Here is a 17,828-nt window from a genome sequence, read left to right on the forward strand (position 1 = left end):
CAACACTCAGTTTCTCTCTCTTACTATGCCGGGCTCTTTAAAATAAAAGCAAATTGCACTGTACTCCAAATGGCCACCGAATACACTAAGGAACAGGCATGTGCAGCACACAGCTGGTTGTGCTACAGTCCATTTGTCAGAATGGCAGAGAAGACATAACCCTCACAAAACACAGATGTGGGCCATTTTCTTCCTGGGGCTGGATAGGTTGGTCCAATATGGTTATGTGTTTGCATGGTAATTATATTTAGCAAGAATATCTTTCAATCGTAGTTAACTGATTCTTCCCTCCCCACCAGCCCAATAAACTCTTCCTCTACCAACTCCAAGGAAAAACCTGAACTATAAACCCAGGATTGCAGCACACATGAAATCTAATAACATCAACTATTCATGACCATCTGTAATGTGCTAGATTCTGTACTGGCACACTTTCATTCATTCTATGCTTCCAGCAAACTTCTCGACGTAGACAGGAATGTTTCCATTTTCACAAGAAAACTGAGGCTGACAGTCCAAGGTTACACAGCTTGTGTTAGATCCATGGTTTGAACTGGGTCTGTCTAGCTTCAAAGTTCAGGCTACTAATTTAGGTTCACTCATCTATATTTTCTTCCTTAACATCAAAAAAGTTTCCTACTTTACCAAATAATCCATACACATAAATAAGCTAAGAGAGAAGGCATGGTGGCATTAAAATTAAAAACCATATATTTAAAAGGAAAAAAATTCTCCTTTATTCTCTAGGAGCAGAATGGCTCTTCTAGATGACTCTTCTCACACACCACACGCACACACGCACGCACACACGCACGCACACACACACACACACACACACAAGAGTTGATGCCTCACTTGGCTATAATGTCTTGATGGCAACGCTGGTGTTAATGTTTAAATGCTCAGTAATATGATTCGTTCTTGAATACACCATGCAATTGCCTTGTGACCTTAACAGACCTCTTTCATCATTTGGAGTTTTGAGCTTTTCATAAATAACATGGGGCTATCATAAAGCCTGCTGTATGAAACTGAAATGTATACAAACGACATCTATAATAAGTGGGAGATGAGTAACTTTAAAAAAATAAATTCTTAAAGAAAAAAAAAGTCCTATATAGAAATAGCCATTCTTATCTGCAACATTAATAGAATTTGGACTTAATTTGAATAGACAACAGCAAACTACAAATGGGTTTGGGCAAGGGAAATCTGGCAGAAAAGCAGGGGACTAAAGTGGATAGAGCGAGAACAGATGGGGGACCTGTAGTTACAAGTCCTTTCTATTGTAACATGCACAGGGGGCTGGCAGAGGGGATAAGAAAAAAAAGGAATAATAAGAGTAATTTTCAGGAGAAGAAGTACAATGGATTTTAGCCTCAGTGACGAGGATAATGATCATTCCATTAATAGAAATATAGAAACTGAAAATAATTGTTGGTTTGAGAAGATGACAGCTCATTTTATTTTGATTTAACCAACCTAGTCTCACAAAATTCTCTTTTCCCCAAATCATCAAATGGATTCTCATCAAAGATTAATGATTTGTCCTTCCAAAGAACCTGAATAAGACCACTTGCAGTGATCTTATTGCATGGCACCTTTTCAAAGTTCTTTAAATATTAGCTCTATGGTGTCTATTCAAATGGAAGGGATTATAGAATTAGGAAGTTGCTGTTAACGATCCACTGACATTGGGCATGGGGCTGGGTTACCTCCCGCTTCGCTGTTGGGATGAGTGTCTGTTTCTCCATGGTGCACGGTATTTATCTGTGAGGTGAATCAAGCCTGAGTCACTGCACAGGAGGAAAGGAGAGAACCCTTTGGGTCTCAGTCTTCTCCTGAAGGAGTAAAATGAGAAGGCTGAACTAGAGGTTCTTTAGAGTCCTTCTAGCTCTAGGAAGCAGGCCCCTTTCTCTAGCCTATTCTCGCCTGTGATGAGCAGCAGGCATCGAAGTCAGCTGCCCCAGGAAAAAGAGTACAGCTTGTGGCCACGACACAGAACAGGGCTAAATAGGTCATCTGAAGACAGAACCTCTGACCTTGGCCTTATTAGCACCCATGCAGAGGCCACCCAAGAGAGTAGGGATAAATGGCCACCCACTGAGGAAAGGAGTGGGCTAGGGAAGGCAGGCCAGGAGCGAAACATCCAGCAATTCTCCATCCCAGAGTGCGGGTGCTGCACGCTTACGCCAACGTAAATTCATCAGGGCACTTGTTTTACATTGGAAGTGCCAGGCACTGGGCTGAAGAATATAAAGACAAATAAGACCCCGTCAGCACCCTCCCTTGCGATGCTATGGTCTAGGTGGTATTATTTCAATTACGGATCTTCTCATCACTAAAGGTTAGGACTGGCAAATGAATGCCATTTAACAGGTACCATCTTCTCCTTCCTTTCCATTTATAAAAATAAGCATTTTAATTCTCATATTTACAGTTATAATGCTCAAGACAGTGAAAGGAAACAAAACATTAAGGAACTCATTAAATCAACCAGAACTTTTTTCCTTTTTAAAATTGGCCTAGAACACAAACTAAAAATTAACTTTAAAAAGAGAGACAAATATACTATTAAAAAGATGAAAAGCATGGTCACCCTCACCTGTAATCAAAGAAATGCAAATTAAACCAAAATGCCATTATTCACTTATGAGATGATTAAAGCTTTTAAAAAGCAATGCTTGTTGTTGGTAAGGGCATGAGGAGCTATAAGGGTTCTCCTGTTTGTGTGTGTATAAATGGTGGGGGGTGGGGGGTGCAGGCTATATGTAAATGAAAATGAGTATTTCCCTTCTTAAAAGTGATTAGCCAGGTTCACTGGCTCACACCTTTGATCCCAGCATTTTGGGAGGCTGAGGCAGGCATATCACTTGAGGTCAGGAGTTAGAGACCAGCCTGGCCAATATGGTGAAACCCCACCTTTACTAAAAATACAAAAATTAGCCAGGCGTGGTGGCGCTCACCTGTAGTCCTAGCTACCTAGTAGGCTGAGGTGGGAGGATCCTTTGAACCTGAGGTGGAAACTGCAGTGAGCGGAGATTGTGCCACTACACTCCAGCCTGGGTGACAGAGCGGATACTCTGTCTCAAAAAAAAAAGAAAAGAAAAGAAAAGAAAAGAATTATTAATATGTAACAAAATCTTTAAACATCTGAAACCCTATGGAATAATCTCACTTCTTAGGATCTGTCCTAATGAAATAATCAGAGATACACACTGTTTTGTATAAGGATAGTTATCCCAGTTTTAATTATGATAATAACAAAATTAGACTAAATGTCTAATTTAGTAAAAAAAAAAAAAATTCTGGGCCAGGTGCAGTGGCTCACACTTGTAATCCCAGCACTTTGCGAGGCTGAGGTGGGCAGACCACCCGAGGTCAGGAGTTCAAGACCAGTCTGACCAACGCAGTTAAACCCCGTTTCTACTAAAAATCCAAGAAAAATTAGGTGTAGTGGCATGCGCCTGTAGTCCCAGCTACTCAGGAGGCTGAGGTGGGAGAATGGCTTGAACTTGGGAGGCAAAGGTTGCAGTGAGCCGAGATCGTGCCATTGCACCTCACCCTGAGCGACAATGAGGCTCCATCTCAAAAAAAAATTCTGGTGCATCCATATAGTGGACTATAATATGTATACACATACATAAAATTATGTTTTCAGGTATACAACAGCACAGGGAAATGCTCGTGATACCACGCTAAATAATAAAGACAGGATACAGAACCCTAGATTCAATGTCATACCAAATTTGTTTATATACATATGTACTTGAAAGGGGAAAAAACACTGAAAGGAAACATACCAAAATGTCAGCAGAGGTGATGGACTCTGAGTTTTTGAAAAATTTCCTTATTTATACTTTACTGAATCTTATGATATTCTGTCATGAAATGTATTAGGTCCAATCATATGAAATTGTCATTTTGCAGGTCAAAAATAGTCAAATATTGGCAATTTCATATACTTACTATACTTAACTTTATATACTTAATATTAACTTAAGTATATATAACAACATATATAATATCCACATTCTTATTATATAATTTAATATAACAATATTGTTTCATCACCAATCATCATTATTCATAACTTAATATATTAACATATTACATAACTTAATTAAGTTATATATAACTATTTCATCATCAGAAAAAAACTTTCATAAATGAAATGCTGCTTAGGTTAGATGAGGAAAATGCATCTTTTTTTTTTTTTGAGACGGAGTCTCGCTGTCGCCCAGGCTGGAGTGCAGTGGCGCAATCTCGGCTCACTGCAGGCTCCGCCCCCTGGGGTTCACGCCATTCTCCTGCCTCAGCCTCCGGAGTAGCTGGGACTACAGGCGCCCGCCACCTCGCCCGGCTAATTTTTTGTATTTTTAGTAGAGACAGGGTTTCACCGTGTTAGCCAGGATGGTCTCGATCTCCTGACCTCGTGATCCGCCCGCCTCGGCCTCCCAAAGTGCTGGGATTACAGGCGTGAGCCACCGCGCCCGGCCGAAAATGCATCTTTAAAAATAGGTTAGGTATTTGGAAGCCTCAATGACAATAAAAGAAACATTGAAGAAAAGAATAAATGAGTAGTAAATCACATAAGGCTCTAGTATATGGTACATGTGCCTTATCTGCCAGAGAGACTCTTAACCTGTTTTCAGGAAGCCAAAATCACATGTGCTGCTGAAGAAATCTAATACAAGGTTACAACCAGCATTCTAAAAAGGTCTTAATTAGACATTGTTACTCCTCTAAAAGACCTAAAACTTTTCAGTTGTATTCACTGACATTCCATGCTTAAGATGTAATTGGTCCCTCAAATTGTTGGCAGTTCAGTGTAAATATCTCTTCAACTGACAACATTTAGGTCTAATGCTATGATTAATATATAACAAAGTACTTTCTTTAAACAAGAGGTAAATCACCAAGACATAAAACAAACCAGAATGGAGTATGTTGCTAACTGACACGTAGGTTTTTAATGCTTTCCACAGATTTTTTCCTAAGGGTAGAATTGTGTATTTTACTATGAACAATAGAATTGCTATTTCCCTTTCCAGTCTTAATTATTAAATAACGCAACAGTCCCAGTTGAAGTCCTGGGACACCAAGTTCTCACAGACTGCTGTTACCATACCACACGTGTGATGACCAACTCTGCCAAGGCAGTCAAGTTGTTAAAATCTCACAAGATGTAAAAAATCATACTTAATCTGTGAAGTAATCATTTTAGGAGGACATCCTTAGGTTTCTTTAAGGTGACAAAAAACAAATGAGTTGGAAAACTTGTGTCTAAGATCAAAAGGACCTTGGAACATTAATCTTGCTGGGGTGGATTGGTATTAAGGCATTTGTTCAAAAAAAGAGAAAGAAAAAGAAAAAAGTCCCCAACATTATGCACTGAATTTTTTTCCTAAGTATTATCCCTTCTGACTCCTCTTTTTTTTCTTTCCACAACTAATGTGAACACACACACATGCACTTACACACACTCTTTCTCCTGTCTTCTCTTTCACCTCTAAATTCTGTGTCACACAATTATTGCTTTGGCTAGCAATATTTTTATGAGACCTTAAGTACCTCATTAACATTTCTGAAAGATTAGAAGTCATTAAGAAAGGACTCAAACTGGATAAGATTTTTAAATCTTTTGGAATTTTTGGCTATTTGCAAAAATAGCTGTAAAACATCATCATAGGTTAGAGTTTTATTCCCTTATCATCATGTATGTCAAGCTCCACATGTAAAGATACCTTAAATATTCCATTAAACTTACCCTTCTTTTGGTTTTGTTTTTAAATATCTTCAGAATAAAAAAAAGCCAAGTCTTTATCAAAGTGTTTGACTTAAATTATTTCATATGATCTTTACATTTCTATTTATTTCCTAAGTACAAAAGTCATGTAAAGTGATTTCAAAAGTAAACACTGCAAAACTCAGTGCTTAAGTAAAAAGGAAAAGTTCCTAGTAACCCCACTGTGCCAAGAGATAACCAGTAGCAACAATCTGGTTTCTGTTTCTCTAACTATTCTTCCTACACAGACAAGTTGCTTGCTTTTTTTTTTTTCTTTCCTTCTTTGGAATGTATCTTGGTGCTTCTTCCTAATAGTATCTAAATTCTTTCATTTACATACAGAAAAAACAATCTTTACAGGTAAACTATAAAGACAACCAATAAGCCCAAAACTATAAGGATACTTCACGATCTGATAACAAATCTGCCAGCCTATTGATTTAACCAGGCTATTCCCAAGCATATCTATAGAAAGTTGTTGGGAAAGATATTTGGTTATAGATAATCCAAATTTTTAACAAGACATCTTCAATTCAAATCAAGATAATTGAGGTTTTAGTATCTGGGGGAGGGGTTCCTGTATTTTTCTAAACACCATTTAGTGTTTAAAGCATATATCAAAGCCCAACACCTCCCCTCCCTGGGCTGCTGGCGTTTGCAAGTCAGTGGACCTCAACATTCCTTCCATCAGCAGGCCCTTGAAACAAAGCACAAGAGCAAGGTTTTAATGAGAGAGATAACCCTTCTCATCCAAAGGAGGAAAAACAACATCTGTTAAAAACCCAAGTAAACTGCAGTAATGGGTTCAGCAATAGGCCCAGAGGACTTCAGAGAGATAGTCTTTGCTTATCAAAATAAAAAACACAATAGAACAATTGTTTCACTCCAACGCTCTGTGTTCTAAACGCTCTCCAGATTAATTAGCATGGAGTTTCGCCAAGCTCATTAAAAGAAAAACTAAGGACTCCTAAGGATGACTGGTGTTTACTGTCCTCCCAAACTGGCCAGTGAGAACTTGGGGGAGCCACAGACTTCTGGGCTTTCTGTACTGATAACATTTCTAGGATTTATTTTTAAATTGCATGTTAAAAATTAGACTACAAGAATCTTTTCATATTTACTTTTTTTAAGTGAAAAAATTGGTCCTTATTTATTTTCCTTGTGTACCTCCAACCCTGCTACATTTTATAGCTGCCGAACAATAGACCACAGGCTTCTGGAATCTGTGACCACTCGATGAGCTATTTGATAACCCTGATGACTTTGTCAAGTCATCCAGAGCATGTGGACACTCAGGCCAAACTTCTTTTTTCCCCGAAACAGGCTTTCTCCACCCACCCAAATCCCCTAATTCTCCTGGGCCTGCCAAGGGCCTGACCTTCCAGTCTCTGCAGCAAAGGGTGAAGTTTTACAGGAGGAAGGCCCAGCAGATTAAAGGCCTCTGTTCAACAAATATTTGCTCGCCCACTCCAGGCGGAGTAACAGTTTCTTACATGCTGCATGCCCACAGTGACACTTAGAGACTTCAGGAAGCTTGTTAAGCTGGTGACTAAGAATTAGACACCTAATGTCAAGGTAAATAATTAAGTCCCAATCCACAGACGTTATGGAAAACCAAACCACTTTAACAAACTCCCAATGTCACACGAAAACCAACACAAGTCCAATGAAATAGAATCTGCATATGATTTCCAAAAAAGCCTGTATGCATTCTTGCTTTGCCGGGTGGTCTTAAAATTCTAAAATGAACTGACATTCCCAAAGTTTTACCTGTACAGCCCATGACCCTCAGTTCACACCATGCAGACTGCCTTTTTTTGCCAGAGCATTTCTGGCTGCCCGAATCCTACCCATCAGGCCCCTTCCCCCAAATCCCTGTATTTTGCAACCCTAGCCCTCAATCTCTGGGTTATCTATTCCTTGTAAATCTGAAAAGACAAAAGACCGGAGAAGGAAAACAAGTTGTGGGAGAAACATCACATTAAACTGTCAGGACAGGAAACCCTGGGAGTTGTGTGGTCTGCACCGCCCCACCCCTCTCCCCAAGACTAAGACCAAGCTACTAGATTTGGGGAGGGAATGAGGACACGGGAGGCGGGTGGAGTGCGTGCGGGGGTGGGAGAGTGGGTGTAGGTGTGGGGAGGTGATGTGCCCAAGCTAATTCCCCCAAGGCCTCTCTACTCCTTAAGCGCGTGGATGACCAAACACCAGGGCATGCCCAGGTAGCGCTGGCCTAAAGTTCTCGTTTTTATTTTCTTCTTCAGTAGTGAAATCACAGCTTCTTTACAAATGCCCAGAAGAATCCCAGGCGCTCTGCTTCTTGACGGAAGCGAGAGGGGCGCTTTTTAGCAGCTAGTGCTGGGCCCCACTGTGGCCAGGGCATCGAGGCAAACCCTGGCATTTTGGGGGTGAACGGACCCCGACTGGAGACGGGGGAAGTAGAGGGTGCCCGCGGAGATCTGAGCGCAGAGACCCTAGGAGGGCGGGTTCCAGATCCCATAAATGAGATAATTAACGGGATTTACAGCACTCCTAGGCGGGGCTCCTGCCCTTCTCCCATCCCACGCGCAGCCAGGAGCCGGGCGGCCCCGGGCACTCGCTGGGAGGCAGCTGCGATTAGCGCCCTAATCCCCAGCGCAGACCGCGCAGAGACCGGAGCGGGAGCGGGGCCGCGGCGGGAGCCCCCCACCGTCCCGGGCAGTCCAGACGGCCGGGGCAGCGTGGGAACTGGGACCTCGGGGACCCAGCGCGGCGGCTGTCAGCTCTGGGGTGAGGTCCGCGAGATCTGGGCGCGAGGGCGCGGGAGGGGTTGGTGGACACAGGCTGGGGAGGGCGACTTCGAGAGGGGAGTGAGTGACCCCGGCCCCCCAGGCCCTCCGCGCGCCGAGGGGCGACGCGAGCGCTAACGCCAGCCGCGGCCCGCGGTGCCCGCCCCGGGACCCCCGCGCTCCGAGCGGGGCACCTGAGGGGAGGGGACGCCCCTCCCGGGCTGGCAGGCGCCCTCCACCCCGAGGCTGCCGGGCTAGGCACCGCGCGGGGGGCCCAGGCGGGGCTGCGACTGGGGGTGCAGACATCCCCCACCGCCAGGGTGGCTGGAACCGGAGCGACGTCCCAGCTGGAGAAGTTGGGGGGAGTGCGGGAGGCTGCGGGTGAGGCCCGCGAAGCGCCGTGGGAGCGGCCCTAATGGACGGTGGGAGCCAGGAGGGTTAGACGCCGGGACTTACCGAGCGGCTCCCTCATGCCGCCTCGCGCCGCCACCGCCGCCGCTCCGGCCGGCCGGGGACCAGCGCGACCCGCCCCGCCTGCAGCCGCCGAGGCCGAGCATGCCCGGAGAACCGCCGTCCGCCCCGCCCACCGCCCGGGCCCGCCCCGCCCACCGCCCGGGGCTGCCTCCTCTGCGCTGAGGGCGGTATCCAGGCCACGAGCTTCCTAGGCTTTTGGGGTCCGCCTGCGTGGGTCGCGCAGAAGGCACAAGTGAGCTGACCACCATTCCCTCTTTTCTTGTCACTTGGGTTTGGGCCACGTCAACCCTGTGGAAATGTCCAAAGACACACACACTCTCACAGATACACAGAAAGCAAACATATTCATATCACACAAACACACAAAGATGTATGCAAACACACTCATATACACCCACACACAGATGCACACAAACACACTCACAGGAAACAGGCGCACACAAACACATATACAGGACACACAGGTGCACACACAGTCACAGACAAGTGCACACACACTCAAATACAGTCACACGCAGGTGCACACAAACACACCCATATACAGTCACGCACAGATGCAGCCAAACACACTGACACATATACATACATACATGGGAACACAGTATGGCTATACACACACACACACACACACACAAACGCACCCACATAACACATCGATATTATGAAGAGCAGAAAACAGTGATGGTGACAACAGCTTGGGATTTACTTCTTTCAAAAAAAAGTCTGAAGGAGTCTGGAAGCCACCTTCAGATCAGCTGGCCCATACTCTCCTGTGGCAGAGGAGGAAACTGATGACAGGAGCAGGATTTGCCTACAGGGCAGGGGTAGGAGGAGAGATAGGAGGAGGTCAGTGGGAGAGTTCAGACCAGAATGAACATTTGGGGTCATTTGGGTAACCCCAAACCCACTCCATATTTCTCTTACAGCGGGAAGGGGCAGAAAGATTAGACTGCTGCCTGGGTCTGCTCAGGGCGAACGTTTTCATAATTTTGGAAGGCAGACAGAAGACAAAAAATGTGAAATATTGCTGATGCATTGGGGAGAGACAGGGAATGTTAGTTAAGTCCACCCAGACAAAACATGGATGGCACAGCAGACTGGTGACCTTGCCAAATTAGTTTTCAGAAAACTACTTAGCCACATCATGATTTTAGGACTGTATTTGCTGTCGAAACACCAATAACTAACTTTTTTTGCTCTATTACCACATCTGAGCCCTTCCTATGTATTATTTCTTTTAATCCTCATCACAGTTTGATGATATGGGCACCACTTTACAGATGAGGAGTGGGCTCAGGGACGGGCACAGATGGCAAGCTGCAGAATCTAGCCCAAGACCCTCGCTCTGAACCACCAGAGCAAGGTCGTTTCTTTGTTCTCTTGAATCATATGTTCCTCATGGTTAGTAGCAACGTATAATCTAACACAGCATAAAAGCTAAACACACTATTGCTGGAAAAGAACGAACAATGTAATTGAATGTTGTATTGTGCATTATCAGGAGTGCGTGGGAGGAAACCAGATGGTGGCGATAGGAGCAGGCAGCATGATTAGGGGCTCGAGAACCAGGTAGCTCAGGTCCCGGGCTTGGCTTCTCTGCCACTTTCTAGATGTGGTACTTTACTTCTGTTAGCCTCACTTTCCTCTCTAACAAAGTGGGGGTAATGATGGTTTGCATCTCATAGGAGAGTCATGAGAATTCAATGAGATGATGCCTTCTTATCACTTAGTTCAGGTACATGTAATAGTCAAGAAAATGGTGGCCGGGCATGGTGACTCATGCCTGTAATCCCAGCACTTTGGGAGGACAAGGCAGGCGGATCACCGGAGGTCTGGAGTTCGAGACCAGCCTGGGTAAGATGGTGAAACCCCATCTCTACTAAAAATACAGAATTAGCCGGGCGTGGTGGCAGGTGCCTGTAATCCCAGGTACTCGGGATGCTGAGGCAGGAGAATCACATGAACCCGGGAGGTGGAGGTTGCAGTGAGCCAGGATCATGCCACTGCACTCCAGCCTGGGCAATAGAGTGAGACTCTGTCTCAAGAAAAAAAAAAAAAAGAAAGAAAAGAAAATAGTAGCTACTACCATTAACACTTGTACAGCTACTGCTGTTTGACTTGGAACCACCAGGGAAGACTTTGAAGGACAAGTGGATTGTGGCTAGGGAGAGACACAAAGGCTGGGAAAATAGGATTCGACAAAATTTAAAAGATAGAAAAGGAAATGCAGACTTTTTTTTTTTTTTCTGGGGAGTCACAGTTATTAACAGCAGTGATATTACTTCTTGTCAAAAAAGCATCATTCGATGATGGATTTCTTCAATGACTTATAGAATTCCTGTTTCTCCTCAATTTGCCAACTCAATGAAATAACTTTGTCCTGGGGTGGAGCACCTCTATGTGCCCAGCATGGTGCAGACACCTAGGGAGCCAAGTATTCCTGCTAGAACATTTATCAGTCAGTGAATTGAGATTAGGATGTGTTTCCCCACAGAACAATGTCATATTGTTGGGTTTCTAGGTCAACCCCATGGAAGTTTTATAATGTACCTAAGGGCTGTAGAGTTGCAAAACAACAGAGTAGGGTTGCAGTAAATCAGAAAACAACACTGATTCAATGCTAGGAGCTAAGCTAAACCAAACCAAATCAAGTTTAATAAGAAATTGTATTTTAGCAGAAAGGCTGGCAAAGGCAGATTCAATTAGGGGAATGTAATGGGATTGAAATACTGGAGATTCTAGAGAAGATGACTTCACAATTTCAAGATGCTTGTAGTTTCTTGACCCTGGCTCTTTATCCTAACATCCTCATTTCAAAATGTTTGGCTTCCGTCTTTCCTCAGTACTGATGTATCCCTAGCCCTGCTCTAATGTTTTCCTGGCATGACTAAGGCCATTTCAAACAAAGAAGCAGAATGAAAAGATGGAGAGAGAAGATGGTGGTGAGGCTGTGGATGTGGGGAGAGGGGCAAGCAGAAAGGTGGAAAGCTTTTCTAAAGATCTGGGAATAGAATTAACAAAGAGGAAAGAGGGTGTATTATTCTATTCCCATGCTGCTAATAAAGACATACCCAAGACTGGGTAATTTATTAAGGAAAGAGGTTTAATGGACTCACAGCTGCACATGGCTGGGGAGGCATCACAATCACGGTGGAAGGCAAAGGAGAAGCAAAGGCGCGCCTTACGTGGCAGCAGGCAAGAGGGCATGTGCAGGAGAACTACTCTTTATCAAACCACCAGATCTCATGAGACTTATTCACTATCACAAGAACGGCATGGGAAAAACCCGCGTCCATGATTCAATTACCTCCCACTGGGTCCCTCCCACAACACGTAAGGACTATTACAACCCAAGGTGAGATTTGGGTGGGACACAGAGCCAAACCATATCAGAGAGTAAGGTTGAAAAGATGCATGAGTATGAGCAGGTGATTAATCATAAATGTAGGAAGATAATAAAGATAAAAGGTAATGAGGAAAATCCACTGGGCCAGTTTCCACACCGGTCACCAGTACATGGACAAGGGATGGTGGGCAAGACGTGAGAGAAACAAGCCTAACCTCCTAATTCCCTTATCCCTACCCACTCCCATTTTCCTGCAATTTGGGTCTCTTGCTTCCACTTACTTGATCTTGGGAGATTTAAACACAGGAAAAAAAAAAAAACTCGCTTATGTGATGTAAAATATAAACTATGATTGAAAACAGCATTTAACATGAAGCTGTTAGAAGTCTGGCACAGCCCTGGGAGCATGTGCCAGGATCCAGCCCTGGATGCCCAATGTCCCCGCCTTTCTTGAGTCCTGGAGAAGGGATTTCACAGACTCAGGAAGGAACTTGGATTATTGAGTCATTGGGCAGATGTGCAGTAACCAGAAAAATAATGTTTAACCGCCTGCTTAAAGAAAGAAAAAAAATAAAAGCCAAGATCTTGTTTCTCTAACTTACTGCCTGTTCAAGGACCTAGAGCAACCCTCCTCCCTCCCTGCTTTAGGGCCCTTCTCTGTAGACTATAAGGTTTCCTTTAGCTGATTTAGATATTGATTTTGTTTTTCTTAGTCTGTAAAGACACTACCAGTTCTCATTTTTTAAAAGATTAACGCTCTTTTAAAAAAAAAATTTGTTGTCTTCACTGACACATAATAATTGTACATATTTATGGGGTACAGTGTGATGTTTTGATGCTTGTATACATTCTGTAATAGTTAAATCAGGGTGTTTAGCATATCCATCTGCTATAGTTTGAATATTTGTTTCCTCCAAAACTCATGTTGAAACTTAATCCCCAATGTGGCAGTGTTGAGAGATGGGATCTTTTTTTTTTTCAAGATGGAGTCTTGCTCTGTTGCCCAGCCTGGAGTGCAGTGTCGTGATCTCGGCTTACTGCAACCTCCGCGTCAGGGTTCATGCAATTCTCCTGCCTCAGCTTCCTGAATAGCTGGGATTATAGGCAAGTGCCATCGCACCCAGAAAATTTTTGCATTTTTAGTAGAGTTGGGTTTTCACCATGTTGGCCAGGCTGGTCTCGAACTCCTGACCTTGCGATCTGCCTGCCTTAGCCTCCCAAAGTGGTGGGATTACAGGTGAAAACCATTGCGCCCAGCCCAAGAGATGGGATCTTTAAGAGATCATTGGATCCTGAAGGTTCTGCCCTCATGAATGGATTAATCTATTCATGGATTAATAGATTAATGGGTTAATGGATTAATGGGTTATCATGGCGGGGAACTGGTGGCTTTATAAGAAGAAGAGAGACATGAGCTAGCATGTGAGCATGCTCAGCCCCTCACCATGTGATGCCCTATACCACCTTAGGTTGACTCTGCAGAGTCCCCACCTGCAAGAAAGCTCTTACCTGATGCAGCCGCTTGACCTTGGACTTCTCAGCTACAAGAAATAAATTTCTATAACTGTAAAAAGTAAATTTCTTTTCTCTATAAATGACCCACCTGCGGGTATTCTGTTATAAGCAATGGAAGGACTAATACGCCATCACCTTATACATTTACCATTTCTTTGGGTTGAGAACATTCAAAATCCTCTCTTCTAGCAATTTTGAAATATACAATACACTTGTTAGCTGCAGTTACCCTTCTGTGAGATAGAACACCAGAACTTATTCCTCCTAAATGAAACTTTGTACCCATTGACCAAAAAAACCCCACGTTCTCTCTTTTTTTTTTTTCTTTTGAGATGGAGTCTCGCTCTATCACCCAGGCTAGAGTGCAGTGGTGTAATTTCAGCTCACTGCAACCTCCACCTCCCAGGTTCAAGCAGTTCTCCTGCCTCAGCCTCCTGAGTAGCTGGGATTACAGGCACGTGCCACCACGCCTGGTTAATTTTTGTATTTTTAGTAAAGACGGGGTTTCACCATGTTGGTCAGGCTGGTCTCGAACTCCTGACCTCGTGATCCACCCGCCTTGGCCTCCCAAGGTGCTGGGATTACAGGCGTGAGCCACCGTGCCCGGCCAAAACCCCACATTCTCGATAAAACCTTGAGGTCTCTCTTGTTGGCTTGTTTTAGAAAGTCAGGCAATAGTGGTTACACAGAAACTGGCAAGGATCTTGTGAGGATAGAGAGTATATTGGTGGGTACCAGAGGCCAGGAAGGGTGGGTTTGGATAAAAAGAAGCTGATTAATACATACAATATACACTTAGAAGAAATAAGACCCGGCATTTGATATATCAGTACGGTGTCTATAGTTAACATTAACCAATTGTTCATTTCAAAATAGCTGGAAGAGAATACTTTGAATGTCCCTAGCATAAAGAAAAGATAAATATTTAAGGTGATGGATGTCCCTATTACCCTGGTTTGATTATATGAATTTATCAAATTATTACATGGATCCTGAAAATATCTACATCTAATATGTATTAAATAAATAAATAAAAAGCTGCCAAATTGAAAAAAATCTAGAAAGGATTTTATGTCAACAAGTGCTAATAACACTTGTTTTTAGTTATTGCTATGCTTTATATTAATTCACAGACTATATCGCATAATTTTTTTTTTTTGACATGAACTCTCACTCTGTCATTGAGGCTGGAGGGCAGTGGTGTGATCACAGCTCACTGCAGCCTTGACCTCCTGGGCTCAAGCCATCTTCCTCCCTCAGCCTCCTAAGTAACTGGACTATAGACACACACAACCATGCCCAGCTAATTTTTGTATCTTCTGCGGAGACGGGCTCTCCCTGTGTTGCCCAGTCTGGTCTTGAACTCCTGGGCTCAAGCAAAGTTCCCACCTTGGCCTCCCAAAGTGGTGGGATTAGAGGCATGAGCCACCATGCCCAGCCCTGCATAATTATTTTTAACCAAGAACTAGAAATCTGTTTCTCAAAGTCTGCTCCATGGACCACCTACACCAGGATCAACTGGGGGAGGGAGAGTTGACTAAAGGCCAAATTCCTGGGCCTCATCAAACCGATGCAATCAGAATTTCTAAGTTCTACCTTTGAGATCCTGGAATGTGTACTTTAAGGAAATGCCCAGATGATTCTCACATACAGTAAAGTGTGAGAAGCAGGGATGGAGCACAATAAATAGAAATGATCTGTGTCAAGAGAGGAATGGATTGATTGACACGTAGTATACAGTGCAAAGACAGTAGCCGTGAACGTCATTGTATGATGATGGAGAGTCACATAGCAACATCCTTCACTAATCAAGTGCATTAGATGTTTACTGTTGGCTTAGAAGATTTGACGCTAACTGAAACAAAACCTACAATGCTGGGGACCAAGAAGAGAGTGACAAACAATTTTTCAATCCTATACCTCCACTGTGAGGAGATTGAATCTGCATAGTTACTGCATGAGAAAAATCATTTCTAATTGTTTGCTCTCCTCGTGTCAGCTTGTTCTCACGTAAAGCCACATATTAATGGAAAACAACTCTGTTACACTCACCGTAGCAAAGAGCTGCTGTTTACTAGTGGTAGAAAGACATTCCAAGCTTCCCCCTGCCTGCAGTTTATAAAATTCTTTGCCAAATTCATAAGGAGGCCTCTTGAGCGGTGGTGCCCTCCAGGGAATGGCAGTGGCTGTCAGGGATCCCGCTGGTACCGGGGGGATGCCAATGTGGCTTCAAGCAGACAGGGGTGTGGCCAGCACCAGAGTGGTCCAGACGTGGGCACCCCTTGGGCTGCCTCTCCCACCATTCCATACCAGCTAATCAAGAATAAATCAAAATTAACTCAAGCATTTTTTAACCCCATATGACTTTTTGTTTTTAAAATGGGAAATAGGCTGGGCTCCGTGGCTCACACCTGCCTCAAGTGACTGAGGCAGGCAGATCACTTGAGGTCAGGAGTTCAAGACCAGCCTGGCCAACATGGTGAAATCCCTTCTCTACTAAAAAATATGTGCTTGTAGTCCCAGCTACTCAGGAGGTTGAGGTACAAGAATCACTTGAACCCAGGGGGCACAGGTTGCAGTGAGCCAAGATGGCATCACTGCACTCCAGCCTGGGCAACAGAGTGAGACCCTGTTTCCAAAAAACTAAAAAATAAAAATAAATGGCCAGGTATAGTAGTACATGCCTATGGTTCCAGTTACTCAGGAGGCTGAGGTGGGAGGATTGCTTAAGCCTAAGAGTTCAAAGCTACAGTGAGCCATGATCATGCTACTGCACTCCAACCTGGGCAACACAGCAAGACCCTGTCTCAAAAAAAAAAAAAAGAACTATGCAAATAACTGTGAACTACATTAATTGTAAAAAGAATGCCTCCATTTGGGGAGAGAATGGTGTATCAGGCTTTTATTAAGTCAGTGATGCCTAGCAATACAAGGTGGAAGGGAGAGATGAGAACTACCTTTTTTCTGTTTTTTTTTTGAGACAGGGACTTGCTCTGTTGCCCAGGCTGGAGTGCAGAGTGCAGTGGCACGATCTCGGCTCACTGCAACCTCCGCCTCCCAGGATCAAGCGATCCTCCTGCCTCAGCCTCCCTAGTAGCTGGGACTACAGGCATGTGCCACCATGCCCAGCTAATTTTTTGTATTTTTAGTAGAGACAGGGCTTCACCATTTTGGCCAGGCTGGTCTCGAACTCCTGACCTCAGGTTATCTGCCCACTTTGGCCTCCCAAAGTGCTGGGATTACAGGCGTAAGCCACTGCAACTGGCCAAGAACTATCTTTGTTTTAATGTTTCTTATGTGCCAGGCACTGGGCTAGGCCTTGACTTATGTCCTTCGATGTACAAAAGGGTAGCACTTACTAGCGGGGTTGTATGGTTTTGAAGTACAGTCATGCATCACTTAATGATGAGAATACGTTCTGAGAATTGTGTTGTTAGGTGATTTCATTGTTGTGCAAACATCCTAGAGTGCATGTACACAAACCAAGGTGGTGTAGCCTACTGCATACCTAGGCTACGTGCTATAGCCTATTACTCCTAGGCCGCAAACCATGCAGCAAGTGACTCTACTCAATCCTGCAGGCAATTGTAACACAGTGTTATTTGTGTACCTAAACATAGAAAAAGTACAGTAAAAATACAGTATTATAATCTTATGAGACCACCATCATAGATGTGGTCCATGGTTGGCTGAAGTATTATGCAGTGCATGACAGTGGTCTTCTAGTTAAGTGTAAAAGGATGTACGGCCGGGTGCGGTGGCTCAGGCCTGTGATCGTAGCACTTCGGGGGGCCGAGGCAGGTGGATCACCTGAGGTCAGGAGTTCGAGACCAGCCTGGCCAACATGGCAAAACCCCATGTCTACTAAAAATACAAAAAAATTAGCCGGGCATGGTGGCAGGTACCTATAATCCCAGCTACTTGGGAGGCTGAGGCA

General features: G+C 44.0%; 1 protein-coding gene and 1 long non-coding RNA gene across 6 annotated transcripts in view, besides 3 other annotated features; one reads left to right on the plus strand and one right to left on the minus strand.

The window, feature by feature from the left end:
- JCAD (junctional cadherin 5 associated) overlaps positions 1 to 17,828 on the minus strand; it is a 102,692-nt gene that overhangs the window by 37,667 nt on the left and 47,197 nt on the right. For 2 of the 4 annotated variants that reach the window (NM_020848.4, NM_001350001.2), the window contains exon 1: positions 9,013 to 9,117. The exons of the other annotated variants lie outside the window; for them this stretch is intronic. The gene's annotated coding sequence lies outside the window, so the exon portion shown is untranslated. Of the gene's footprint in view, positions 1 to 9,012; positions 9,118 to 17,828 lie in introns of those variants that run through there. 4 annotated transcript variants of the gene reach the window in all.
- Positions 6,238 to 6,775: an enhancer, noted in NCBI's record as "NANOG hESC enhancer chr10:30345636-30346173 (GRCh37/hg19 assembly coordinates)". NCBI's record gives its function as "activates a minimal SCP1, AML or CMV promoter by ChIP-STARR-seq in naive H9 embryonic stem cells {active_cell/tissue: H9 hESC(naive)}" and the evidence as "EXISTENCE:reporter gene assay evidence [ECO:0000049][PMID:30033119]".
- LOC101929256 (uncharacterized) overlaps positions 8,369 to 17,828 on the plus strand; it is a 62,244-nt gene continuing 52,784 nt past the window's right edge. For both annotated transcript variants that reach the window (XR_001747405.2, XR_001747404.3), the window contains exon 1: positions 8,369 to 8,557. This is a non-coding gene — a long non-coding RNA (uncharacterized LOC101929256). The remainder of the gene's footprint in view (positions 8,558 to 17,828) is intronic.
- Positions 9,060 to 9,229: a silencer, noted in NCBI's record as "silent region_2263". NCBI's record gives its function as "represses an Ori minimal core promoter by ATAC-STARR-seq in GM12878 lymphoblastoid cells {active_cell/tissue: GM12878}" and the evidence as "EXISTENCE:reporter gene assay evidence [ECO:0000049][PMID:35858748]".
- Positions 12,671 to 12,965: a silencer, noted in NCBI's record as "tiled region #14462; HepG2 Repressive non-DNase unmatched - State 22:ReprW". NCBI's record gives its function as "represses a minimal TATA promoter and a strong SV40 promoter by Sharpr-MPRA in HepG2 cells {active_cell/tissue: HepG2}" and the evidence as "EXISTENCE:reporter gene assay evidence [ECO:0000049][PMID:27701403]".

Source organism: Homo sapiens, chromosome 10 (assembly GCF_000001405.40).
Source record: "Homo sapiens chromosome 10, GRCh38.p14 Primary Assembly".
Lineage (NCBI taxonomy): Eukaryota > Metazoa > Chordata > Mammalia > Primates > Hominidae > Homo > Homo sapiens.